The following is a 13,497-nucleotide window of genomic DNA, read 5'->3' on the forward strand; positions in this document are numbered from 1 at the left end:
TAAGTAGCATAGCAAGACTTCATCTCCAAAAAATTGTTTTAATTAGCTAGGCATGATGGTGTACTCCTGTAGTCCCAGCTACTTGAGAGACTGAGGTAGGAGATTGCTTGAGCCTATGAGTTGCAGTGAGCTATGATCACACCACTGCACTCTAGCCTGGGTGACAGAATAAGACCTTGTCTCTAAAAAATAAAGAATTAATACATACAATGTCTGGTATATTTCCTAGAGTTTCTGTTTCAAATTAGACTCTGAGCATTCTAGCAGACAGTACAAACATGGAAAACTTGTTATAGTATTCAGATGTCTAAAAAGTTTAAAATAACCATCTGGCCAAAGAACAGTAATCCTGATTCTGGTTTTTGAGGACAATGTTCCTATTTCATAACCTGTGTGAGTTATTAAGTAACAGCCTCACCCAGACCCTCTATGAAATTAGAGTGAACTACAATGAGGTCTAATGATAAAAACAGTACCTGTATAGGCCAAGGAGTGTCTAAACAGTTTATGCTCTGTAACTAACTTAATACTTACAGCTAGCCTTGTTTTATTATTATCACCATTTTATGCATAAGGAAGCTGAGGGACAAATCAGTTAAATAACTTGACTCAGTCCTACAGCTGTGAAGTGGAGAAACCTGGAACAGAATGCATTCTCTCCACCGCCCGGTGTTAATGTCATCAAGGCAAAGTCAGCTTCACAGAAATAGTTTCATCATCTCCAAGTAAGATGGTCCAGGTGTGTCTGGGACCTTAGAATTGTGTGACCAAAGCTATAGATTCCCTCCCTCAGAAACTAAAGGTACCCAATGTTTTGCAAATATTTTCAGTGTAAAACTCAAACATGGGCCCCACATTTTAAAAATCCTACTCTAGAAAGGAGTGAGCAAATTGCATCTTCTCAGTCATTGATCTATGTATCTACCTGTTCACCATGGGGCATCCTTAATTTGGGAGGATTGCTAATATAATTAACATAGTAGGAGTGCACAAGAACTACTAGTTGTGATTAGAGTCATCATTTTTGTTATTGTTATATGCAGCAACCTGCGACCTGTTCTCTCAGCTTCCATGTGTGGCCTCTAATCCTCCATGCTTCCTTTAGTGGTAGGTGGGGCCCCTTCAGGAATAAATCTGAACTTGTCCATCCTGTGCCTCATTTGTTCCACACTCTACAAGGGCTTCACACTTAGAGGAGAATCCCAGCTCTTTACCATCAACTCCAAGGCCCCGTGTGATCGGGCCCTGTCTTAGGTCTCCAATCTCACCATCTATAATTCTCACCTTTTCTTACCCACTCCATCCTATTGTCCCTTGTTGTTGGAATCTATCTCAAAGCCTTGCCTTATTTCAAATACTCTCTTGTTCTCTGATAATCTCTCTGACTTAGCAGTGCTTCATCCCTTTCATTCTTTATTCTCTCTACTCCATCTTGACCCTTATCTCCATCCTTCATGAATGTTTTTATGAATGCATTCATGTAACAAATGTCCATGCTCTCCACTAGAATGAAAGCTCCACAAGGACAAGTACTGGTCTATTTTGAGCACTGCTGTGTCCCTGCTACCTGAAAGGCACCCAGCAGAGAACAGACACTCAATGAGTGTCAGTGAACAGAAGGAAAGGAGATGGGTAGGGAAGTGAGTTGGTTTTTGTGATGATAACTTTTGGATACTGTTTTGGACAGATCTGTGTGCCCAGTTTTGAAGTAGATTGGTTTCACCCTCAAGCACTTAAGGACCAGAGATATATGTCCAACAGGAGAGGCCAGCATAGACAAAAATCAGCAGCAAATTCCCCAACATCCCTCACTAACTGCTCCAGGGCAGGCAATGAAAGGACAATGGATAAGCGCTCAGAGGGACAAAATCAGAGGGGGCAAAGTTCTAGGATCTCTGCTGGCAGGAAAAGTGTGGAATTCTGGCCTGCCTATCCTGGCATAGAATCCTCACCACTCAGATCCAATTAGCAAGGGCACAGAGAAGACGCAGGCAGGGAAATCAAAGTGCCAAGGGCTGGCAAAACATCATCTGCAGGGGAGAAGGCTGGGCCCAGCTGGGCTGCATAGAGCGGCACCAGCCCTAATTAAGTTATTAGACACACATGGCTGCAGCCAGGGTGTTCCTGGGCCCACCACCACAGACAGTGATGGCTCTGTGGGAGGCTGCTGACTCAGGATTCCAACTGAGCTCCCTCCAGCCCTCTCATAGCCTGTTTTTCCTTCTCCTTTCTTCCTTTATTCTTTTGTAAACATAGTAGATGAAGCGGATATTCCCTGAGAGTAGTAACAGAGATAACGTACGTGCACACAATCCTTAACAGTCTATATGACACACCATTAGCTCATTTCTTTTATTTATGTATTCAGCCAATATGTATTGAAGGCTTACTATGTGCCAGGAAATATCCCATGTGCTGATTACAGAGTATGTGTGAACAGACTTAGAATTCCAACCACCAGAGCTTTCTTTCTACTTTGGGAAGGACAAGACTATATATGTACACAGCATATGTATGTATGCATACATGTATATAAATATATATAATGATATGCTGATATATACATATTTTCACATATATATGCTTATGTGGGGATATATATGTGTGTGTGTGTATGTATATATATCCACATATCTTCTATATATAGTCATCTTGAGATAAGTAACCCAGCTTGTTGCCGTTTCCATCTCCCACATGGTGAACCAGTCTCCAAGAGGTAAAATGGATTACTTAGGATGACACCATCCTAATAGGAGACCCCATCATTTGTAACACTAGGGAAGGGATTAGCAATATTCTTCTGGCTCCTAAAAGGAAGTCTCTCTTCTTCCTCTTCTTGGTTGCTTCTCCTTCTTGCACCTCTTCCTTGCCCCCATCTCTTCTCTTACCTTTGATAAATAAAAGTGTAATGTAACGACATGAGGGCTTCCCTCCTATGCTTGTTTCTCTCCTATGCTTGCTGTACTCCAGGACTGCTGGGCCTAAAGGCACAGGCAGGGCCTTTCTGCCTGATTCTGAAAGACCCCACTGCAGATCTGTCATTCAGACCCCACTGCAGATCTGTCATTTCAGGCTGCTGAAAGTTGGTGTTTAGGGACTTACTTTACCCCCAATCCCCTGGTTTTGCCATTTCCTTACCTCAGACATTACCCTCCCTATTCAAGGATGTAGGATGTAGGTGATGGATGATGCTTCTGAGATCATTGGTTCTCATTTGATAGATGGGAAAACTGAGGTCCATCTAAGGGCATCCAATTCAAATGGCAGATCTGCAGCAAAGCTTTGAATAAAATGCAGGGAGGCCCATTTCCAGATCAGTGCTGTATCATCTCTTGGAGCATGCTAGCTCTGCATCTCTCTTTTGATTCACAGAGTAGTCTTCCATTCTTGATCTCTCTGCCTTTTTTCTGATCTAAGTTTGTGCCACCATGTTAAATGATCTTTCTGGGAGGAAGACTATCTGGGCATGACACTTCTCAGTTAAAAGTTTTCAGTGGCTCCCTGGGGCCTCCCAGATAAAGTCCCAGGACCCTGGTGATCTGACCCATCTCTTCCTCTACAGTCTGCTCTTTCTGTTCATGTTCCTTTGTTGCCAGCCACTTGAAACTTCTCACAGTTCCTACAATGTTCTCTCCCTGTTGCCTTGGGACCTTTACACATCCCCTTTCCCTTGCCCCTGGGTTCACTGATGAGCTTATCTTCAAATTCAGCTCAAATGTCTCCTCTTGAGGGAAGTTCTCATCCACATCGTCAGCACATTTGAATGCCATTTCCTCTGTGATCCTGGAATATTTGTTCATATCCATATTTCAGCACACTCACAGCAATCATTTATTGACTGCTTACTATGCACCGAGCACCATTCTAAACAACTGATCTGGAGTATCTTTTTTTTTTTTTTTTTGGACAGGAAGTAGAATTTATTGGTGAGTATTAAGAGGGGGCAGCACAGTGGAAGCCCTCATGAGTGCAGGGCCCGCCACTTGTCCAGAGGGCCACGACTGGGGATGTACTTGACCCCACAGCCATCAGGGATGAGCTGCTTCTCAGCCACCATGTCTTCAAATTCATCAACATTGAACTTGGTGAAGCCCCACTTCTTTGAGATGCGGATCTTCTGGTGGCCAGGAAACTTGAACTTGGCCCTGCGCAGGGCCTCAATTACATGCTCCTTGTTCTGCAGCTTGGTGTGGATGGACATGATAACTTGGCCAATGTGAACCCTGGTCACAGTGCCCTGGGGCTTTCCAAAGGCACCTCGCATGCCTGTTTGGAGCCTGCACTGGGGTAGCGCAAGGTCAGAAACATAAACATACATCTGAAAGGCCTGTTTCCATGGTCCCTTAAAGCAACCCATACAACAAACAGGCTGCATACACTACCAAGAAAGCTGCTGTTTGCAGCCATTGCACAATGGGCCCCCATGAGGAAAGGAACCCAGTTGGCTTAATTGGCTGCAGATGATCTGGAGTATTTCAATTATTCTTCACAGCAATGTATAAGCTGAGAATGCTCACATAACTATTTCAGAGATGGGGAAACTGAAGCCCAGAGATGTCAAATAACTTGCCCCAGGTCAAAGAGCTGGTAAGTATCAGAGCTAAGATTGGGTTCTGGCAAATGTCTCAAATACATTTCATACTGCTGAAATTGCCTGTTTACTCAACTCTCTTACACACAACCATAAACTTGTTGAAGGTATTAATCCCTCTATAACCTAGCACTTAGCACAGTGACTTCATTCTGTACATGGAGTGTGCACTTTGTAAATGGCCACCGAGTGAACAATACAAGACTCTCTTCTATTTTATTTTATAGCATGCTAGACAACAGGATAGCACAGTGGCAAAAAACACAGACTCTGGAGTCAGACCCAGGTCCCAATTGTAGCTCTACCACTTCCTGGTGCTTAAAGCAGGTCCTGTTTTGCCTGGTCTGTTTCACAGGGCTAATGATGATACCATATGGAAAAATCATGTGTATTAAATAAAGAAATCCATAGCAAGTACAAAGCATAGCACTTGGATCTCAATAGACAGTAGATACTCAGTGTTTGTTATAATGGCCGTTATCATTCACTGTGTTCCTTCCCTTACCCCTTTCTTTCTTTCCTCTCTCTTTCCTGCTCACCTTAAGCAAGAGGCGTCCTCTCAGCAAGACTCGTTTGGGATTCGCAAAAGCTGAGAGGGAGCATGACTTCTCTGGCCCACTGAGCCCAGTGCCCTCCTTCCCCACCCCATGCTGCCACCTTCCAGCTGTGAAATGGTGTCCCTGCTCAACTGGGCCCCAAAGCTGTCAGGGGGCTGCCAATTTCACAGTTCACAAGGCTGCTGTTCCCCCCGATTAATGGGGTGCCAGCAGCCATGGGCAGGGCTCTGATACCAGTCATATGGGCTCTCTCTCCCCTGCCCACACTTCCTGAGGAAAAGAGAGCAGGCCAGCCTCATGCATATTTATGTAGGGAGAGAAATGATTTTGTACTGCATGCCTTCCAAAAAAAAAAAAATAATAAGATTTCACCCAAGTCCCAGGCATTTCCCTGAGTGAACTCAGCATGCTTCAGGGAAGAAAACGACACAGACACAGACACACACACACACACACAAACACATACCCCACAGATGCACACATGGCATAATGAAAAACTGAAAACACTTTATATACCACTGATCTGAGCAGAGTGTTCTCACACCAAGGATGACCCAGGAGACACAGGAGATATTAAACCCTAGAGCATGGACAGAATTATTTTGAAATTAATCCAGTTCCACCCTATAGCTCTAGGGAAATTAGAACAGATAAGGTCCAAATGTAGCCGGGCACTCAAGGCCTGCCCCACCACCTCCTAATCACTGCTTTTGTCTACAGCATTCCTGACCTCAGACTAAGCTGTTCTCTGTTCCTTGTATAAGCAATCACTTTCGGTGGTATATGCCATAGTGGGGCAGAAGAAAAGCTTTCATCTTAGGGCAATCCCAGTCCTTCTGTTCCAGTTACAGAACGTCTTAAAAGCCACTTCAGCTTGCAGTGTCTCGGTGCCCCCATCTCTGTGTCCTAGAATAAACTGACCCAGGCTTCCTCACTGTGTTTGAGCCACATTGGCCTTCTAGGCCATTAAGCAAGCCAAGTTTTTATTTCAAGAGACTCTTCCTCATATTGAAACATCACGTTGGGCCCCACAAATACAGACAATTATTATTTGTCAATTAAAAAATAAAACAGAACTTTTAAAAAGATCACTTTCTCTGTTCTTCAGTTCATTTGGTTGAACGCTACATACCCTTCTAATTCCAGCTTAAATCTTCCTTCCTCAGAAAGGCCTTCTTGAACAGCCAAATTGAGGTCAAGTATCCCCTTTCTTCTCCCAGAGCATGCAGTATGTTTCCTTCCTGGCAGCTTTGTGTTAATTAAATTAGTAATTGTGTGATAAGTTGGTTCAAGTCTCCAGTCTCAAGTCTGATTTTCTCATTAGAGGATAGCATCTCTGAGGGAAAGGGTCACGCCAGCACTTTCACTGCTCTGTCCTAATGAGTATTTGGTAAATGAATGAATGAATGAATTGCTGAGTAGTTGAGAGAATTAAATAAAGAAGCATATAAAGCACCCGATCTATCTGCAGAGGACTTGCTCACAATGCACTATAATAACTAACATTAATTGACCCTTTTTCTTGTGATAAGCACTCCTTTAAGCATTGTGACATGTATTAATCATTTAGTCTTACATAAATTACATCATTTGTTCTTACAACAACTCGGGTATCCACATCCTTATTGTCTCCATTTTAGAAACGAGGACAGTGAGAGGAAGGGGAGCATTTACTAATTTGCCCAAGGTTATACATAGCTAGTAAGTATCAGTAAATTTCAGGAGTTGACCTAGGTAGCCTAGTCCCAGAGTCCACATTTCTATCCACTACTCTCTAGAAAGATATTAGTTCCATCCCTTCACCTTCCCTCTCAGATATGTTCAGGCTTAGATACCTTGGTTGAAGACTTTGTCTTCCACAAAGCCTTTCCTGATTTGCCAGCCTCACTCTATTACATCTGAAAACCTACATCCCCCTTTCCCACATCCATGCATAGAGAGCTGGGGTTATGAAATGCAGCCCTGATATCAGAATATCCTCTACTGCCCTCCCTCTGGATCTTTTATGGGTGGAGCAAACCTCATTTTCTTGCAATGTGAGGACACAGTCCAGAAATTGCTTTCTCCTCTGGGGTCCTACAGGGAGACACCCAGCCCTCAGAACCAAGCCAATTTAACACTCAGGAGAACCCTCTCCTCCTGGAATATCCATCTGACCTCCTTTCTGAGATAGCTACAGGTTAAGAGCCAGAAGAAGGTGTAGAGACCTCACAATCCATCTGCCCACATATAAACAGGCTGAGGCCCAGGGTTGAGAAGGACAACTCAGGCAACAGACACGCTGAAGGCACAGCCCAGGCTCTCTCATTTCTACCTGACTGCCCACCCTCTGTAGCATACTGCCTCCTCTCCCCTGGAGCAGAGCCGGGGGTATAGCAAGCAGACACTGCCAAGGACATAGCTGGAGCTGTGCCGAGCCAAAGCAGGCAGACTGTCTGTCCATGGGGCGAGGCTGCTTCCTGGGGTGATGAACAGCGCCAATCAGGCAGCACTTAACGCAATTATAATGAAGTAGATGCATCTGTTCTCCGAAGGCTTCATTCACCAGGGAAATCATGAGGAAGTGATATCTCTGTCTGCCGACCTCCTTGGGACACTCTCAGGGACAGTCCTGGAGCCAGGAAGCTGTTGACATGGACTGGAGACTGGCCTCAGCCATCTCAGAATGACAGTGACTGACACCCTTTATCTCTTTTGCATCATTTCTGTAAAAGGAGCTGTCAGTAGATAAGAGTTCGCATGAGAGAATGTCTTCCTCTTTTCCTGGTTTTTCTAATAACCTCACCCCCTACATACACTGTTGGTCATGCCTGCAAGTCATATGGCACTGAGTTCCAACTCAGCTTCCACTGATTTTAATGTATATCCACACCCCACAGTTCCACTGAAGAATGCAGGTTTAGACCAGCAAGGAAGGGTCCAAGCTGTTCATGATACAGATGGGAAGACTGAGACTCAGGGAGGAGATATGACTTTCCCAAGATTATTACTATTTGTGTCAGGTGGCCTCTACACCAGATTGTTCATATATTATTGCATTTCATCCTGAAAATAACCTGAGAAGAGTCCAACACTATTAAAAGCCAGCTTCACAGGTAAGGAATCCGAGACTAAAAGAGGTTAGTTACTCTGTCCACGATTGAGGCACTGTATGGGCACACGATTCATACCCACATCTGCCCATTCCACACCCATCTTGCTACTATCCATCATCCCAGAAAGCCCTGACGTTATAGATTGGCTTTGGTTTATAGACTAGTGTGTCTATAAACATTTTGATAAGCTAAAAGTTGTTTAAATCCTCTTCTTTTTTACATTTATTCCTAGTGCTATATATGAAAAGAATCCTGTGGTGAATTGCTTTTGTAAAATGAAGAATCATTTAGGAAAATAATCTGTCACTTCCTGATTTATTTCTTTGCTAAGCTGAGCTTTTCACAAATCAGTCTCCTTTGAAGCAAGGCACACCAGCCCTGCTCTGGGCAGATGGACTCCCTACTATTCTGGACAGGATATGATGTTTGAGGATCTGCCACATTCACAGATGCGTGCTTTAGTAAAAAGGAGCTGCAGATGCTTCATAACCTAGAGTGTGGCTTGCTAGGTACCCCAAGACTCCACCATCCTGATAAAGCTGATAGGAACAGAGCTCTATATCTGCACAGAGTCAGATAGTTCCAGATTAGCTTATGGATGGTGACGTCTCCTGGTGTGGGGATCTCCTCACTAGGGCATTCAGTATTGGATATGACAAATTCTTTCATGGAGTGCTTGAAAAGAAGGCATGAGAGAAGAGTCAGAGGCAGGCAGAGCATGTCTCACAAGGAATGGAGATGGGCTAGGCACAGAAGCTGTGAAGCAGTAGAAGCCATGGGCATGCAGAGGTTAGGAAGCATAGAGAGGTTATTTCCAGGTGGGAGCCAAAGAGGAACAGAGAAAAAGAGGCCAAGATTCATGAATTTAGCAGAGCTACTTGAGGCAGAATCAATGAGCCAATTGCTGTTATATCCAATCAATAGTGTATCTCCATGAAGCCTGAGACTGTTTCTGATCATACCTGTCCTTGTGTTCCTCAAGGAACAGAAAGGTAAAGGAAGTACGGGAAGCAGAGTTATTGGTGAAAAGAGAGAATTTCAAGGTCACACAGACCTAGCTTCAAATCCTGGGTCTAATACAAACCAGGTACATGACCCTGAGCTAGTTACCAGAGCCTCCTCTGCTTCGGTCTCCTCATCTGAAAAAGGGAGTGATTAGAAGTAATGACCATATCAATTTTTTGAAAATTTTATGCGTAATTATTTATTAAGTACTGGTCACACAACTTGGCCCATATAGAGTAACTAATATTACTCCTATTTCTACTAAAAATAAATCCTGGCCGGGCGCGGTGGCCCACGCCTGTAATCCCAGCACTTTGGGAGGCTGAGGCGGGCAGATCACGAGGTCAGGAGATCGAGACCACCCTGGCTAACACGGTGAAAACCCGTCTCTACTAAAAAATACAAAAAATTAGCCGGGTGTGGTGGCGGGCGCCTGTAGTCCCAGCTACTCGGGAGGCTGAAGCAGGAGAATGGTGCGGGCCTGGGAGGCAGAGCTTGCTGTGAGCCGAAATCACGCCACTGCACTCCAGCCTGGGCAACAGAGCGAGACTCTGTCTCAAAAAAATAAATAAATAAAATAAAATAAAATAAATAAATAAAATAAATCCCATTAGCTGAACTAAATAGCCAATCATTTGAAATAGAAAGAAACTGAATTAAGGCATTTAGGTAAGTCTTCCATTGATTCATTTACTCACTTGTTTTATCAATTCACTCCTCAATTATTTATTTGCTTTCTATACAGTGCCAGGCAATGTTCTAAACAAGAAGCAGACAGCATGGGACAAAACAGACACAATTCTTAAAGATGGACAGATAATACTTATAATGGGTCAAATGGTGGCAAAAATTATAAAGAAGGCCGGGCGAAGTGGCTCACGCCTGTAATCCTAGCACTTTGGGAGGCCAAGGAGGGCAGATCATGAAGTCAGGAGTTTGAGACTGGCCTGGCCAACATGGTGAAACCCCATCTCTACTAAAAACACAAAAATTAGCAGGGCGTGTTGGTGCACGCCTGTAATCCCAGCTACTCAGGAGGCTGAGGCAGGAGAAACTCTTGGACCTGCAAGGCAGAGGTCACAGTGAGCTGAGATTGTGCCACTGCACTCCAGCCTGGGAGACAGAGTGAGACTCCATCTCAGAAAAAGAAAGAAAAAAATAGAAAAATTAAGGTAATGGAGAACACAGTGTGGTGCATGTGTGTATGATTATGTACATTGTTTTATTTTTTATTTTATACAGGCTGGTCAGGGAGGGCCTTAGGGTGCTATATGAAGAAAAACCTGAAGGAACTGGGGGAACAAGCCATGCAAAGCCCTGAGGAAAGAACTGTTCAGGAAGAGAGAACAGAGATGCAAAGGCCCTGAGATTGATGAAGATGATGATGATGATGCTAAAAAATAATGATGTGCTATGGTTTGAATGATTGTCTCCTCTGAAACTCATGTTGAAAGTCAACCCCCAATGTAATAGTATTGAGAGATGGGGCCTTTGAGAAGTGATTGGATCATGAAGATTCTGACCTCATTAATAGGTTAATCCACTCATGCATTAAAGGACTAATAGATTAATGGGTTGTCATGAGAATAGGTTAGTTATCACAAGAGTGAATCTGTTTTAAAAACTAGGTTGGCTGTCTGTCACGAGTCTCCCTGGTCATGTGATGCCCTGCGCTGCCTCAGGACTCTGCAGACAGTCCCCATCAGCAAGAAGGCCCTCACCAGATGCAGCCCTCCTACCTTGGACTTCCCAGTCTGCAGAACTGGAAGAAATAAATTTATTTTCTCCATAAACTACCTAGTCTCAGATATTCAGTTAAACAGAAAACAGACTAAGACACAATGGAACAATAACATTGCTATCCTACATCTGTGTAGTATGTTACAGTTACAAAAAGCATTCACCTTTATAATTGTTTGTTCCTCCCACGTTCTTGTGAAACTGGAATCTCCATTTTACCAATGTGACAACCAAGGCTTGGAGCAGGGTTTCTCAGCCTTGATTTGATAGATATTTTGAGGTGGGTAATTATTTGCTGGGGTTGGGGGGCGGTCCTGTGCATTGTAGAATGTTAAGCAGCATCCCTGGCCTAACCCCTCCCTAGTCATGACAAAAAAAAATGTCTTCAGACATTGCTAAAGGTCTCCAGTGAAAGATGTGTGTGTGTGTCTGTGTGATAGAGAGAGAGAGAGAGAGAGAGAGAGACAGAGAGAGAGAGAGAGAGGAAATCACCCCCGATCCTGGTTGAAAGTGACTAGTTCAAGACATCAATATGTCGAAATTAGTGAGTAGGTAAGGAGATAAGATTAGAATCTGACCCATATCCCCTAGTCAGGAAAGTTTAAGACCATCACCCTTTCCATAGCATGAGGAGTTTTCCGAAGTTGCCTGCGTATATTAATACTGGAAGGTGTCATGTAGTTTATGGGGGTGGGGTGGAGGAGAGTGAGATGAGGAGACATAGTGGGGCTATCATCTCCATTTTCCAGTCACTGGCCTCTACTTCAGTATGGAATAGCAGCTAAGGGAGCAAGATGCCTGTCTCCTCACTGCTGTGTTGTTGCTGGATGCCGAGGAAACATCGTAGCTGGGAACTCTTCAGAAACCAAGCTCCTGTCCTGCCAAAGATGTTAACCACCCAGGATGGCTTCTAGCCAAGTTACAGGGGTTCAGCATTCATTCCACGGATGAGAAAGCATGCATAGATGAGAATAAACAACTTGTTTAAGGTACTACAGTTTTTAAATGTGGAGAAGAAAGGGCACTCAATAAATGTCTGACTTGGAAATGCCAAGGAATAATGATTCTATGGGCTACTGACTGTAAAAGCATCCACATTTTGAGAGTCCCATGGGAGCCAGGTACCCGTGGGAATTATCTATTTGCAGGCAGGTCGGTGGCCTCTCTAACCATGCTCAGTGGGCAGCACTACATCTACCTGAGCATCAGTGAGTGCCCTTTCCCCAGAGCGTGGAGTCTGAGAATGGCCGTCCATTCTCACCAGGACTTCATAATTCTAGTGTCCCCTCCTGTCCCCACCTGGGACAGTGGGTAGAAGGTCCTGTCTGCCAGACATCCTAACCTCCCAGATAGGAGACTCCTACATCCTGAACAATGTCTTATAAAAGGACACAAAAAAGGTGAGGATTGTAAGCTGTAGAGAAAGAAAACAACGGCACTTAAAAGTGCTCAGGAGATAGGATCAGGAGAACTGCTGTTTACCCACTACCCACTAGGCAGCAAATTAGTCCCTTCCAGTCAGGGATATATTCATTTGCCCATTCACCCATTCATTTTAAACATATTTAGCAATCTCCTATGATGAGTCAAGACAAAGGCATGGGCTGGAACATGGATAGAAAGGAACTCCTTCAGAAGTGGTGTGGTTGAAACGTTAAGATGGCATTGACTAGAAACAGAATGTCCACATCAAAGCCACCATTCCCCACAAACGCTGCATCCCCCATACACCCAGTATTAACTTGCTGTGTAACTTCAGATACCTCTCTCCCCTCCCTGGGTCTCTGTTGAATGAAATGAATATTTCAGACAACATGTCAATAATAGCTTCCATTTCTTGAGTCAAAACACTGTGCTATTTTATATATATGATTTCCTTAATTCTTACAAGAATACTGCAAAACAAGTAATCCCATTTTAGAGGTGAGGAGGTTGAATCTCAAAAGTATTAGTAAGGTGAAACTGGACCCCGGTGTGTCTGGTTCAAGAGTTGGGCATCTTAACTACTTTATCCTCTGCTGTCAAAGTTCTTAAAGGTCTCTTGGTCTCTGATCTGCTGCCAGCCTCTGCCTGGCTGGTAAAACAAAACTCAAGGAGTTGAAAGAGAGTGGTATCCTTTCCTAGACTAATCTGTGCATCCCTACCCTTATACTAATGGAGAGTGAAGATACATACCTTCTAGAAAGTCTTAAAGATCCTAAGGCCTCCCGCTCTTGCTACACAAAATAGGAAGTGAATCCATTGTTCCTGTATACTCTGGGTTCCCACTGCTCAGATCATAAGGGCTGTCTCAATTTCTCCTTCCTCTGGGAGATGTGAGTTCCAATCTCTCAGGAAGGAGGGAGAATTTAGGTTAAGGAACTTAATCAGGTGGTGTTCCTGATGAAGTAGAGAGAGCAGCCCTTCCAAAGCAGTTGCTACCACTCAGCTCCTGCTAAGTGCTGGAAGGCACAAGAATGGGCCTAAGGTTTTGAGATCCTTCAGTCACCAAGTGAGGCAGAAATGTGAA

The 13,497-nt window shown here is 44.0% G+C and overlaps 1 protein-coding gene, 1 non-coding gene and 1 pseudogene across 4 annotated transcripts in view; all 3 read right to left on the minus strand.

The window, feature by feature from the left end:
* ASTN2 (astrotactin 2) overlaps nt 1-13,497 on the minus strand; it is a 991,946-nt gene that overhangs the window by 753,629 nt on the left and 224,820 nt on the right. The gene's annotated exons all lie outside the window — the stretch shown is intronic.
* RPL10P3 (ribosomal protein L10 pseudogene 3) lies at nt 3,904-4,280 on the minus strand (annotated as a pseudogene).
* On the minus strand, nt 4,326-4,461 carry SNORA70C (small nucleolar RNA, H/ACA box 70C). Its single transcript, NR_003708.4, has one exon. It is a non-coding gene; the product is annotated as a small nucleolar RNA, H/ACA box 70C (small nucleolar RNA).

The sequence above is a fragment of the Homo sapiens genome, chromosome 9 (assembly GCF_000001405.40).
Source record: "Homo sapiens chromosome 9, GRCh38.p14 Primary Assembly".
Lineage (NCBI taxonomy): Eukaryota > Metazoa > Chordata > Mammalia > Primates > Hominidae > Homo > Homo sapiens.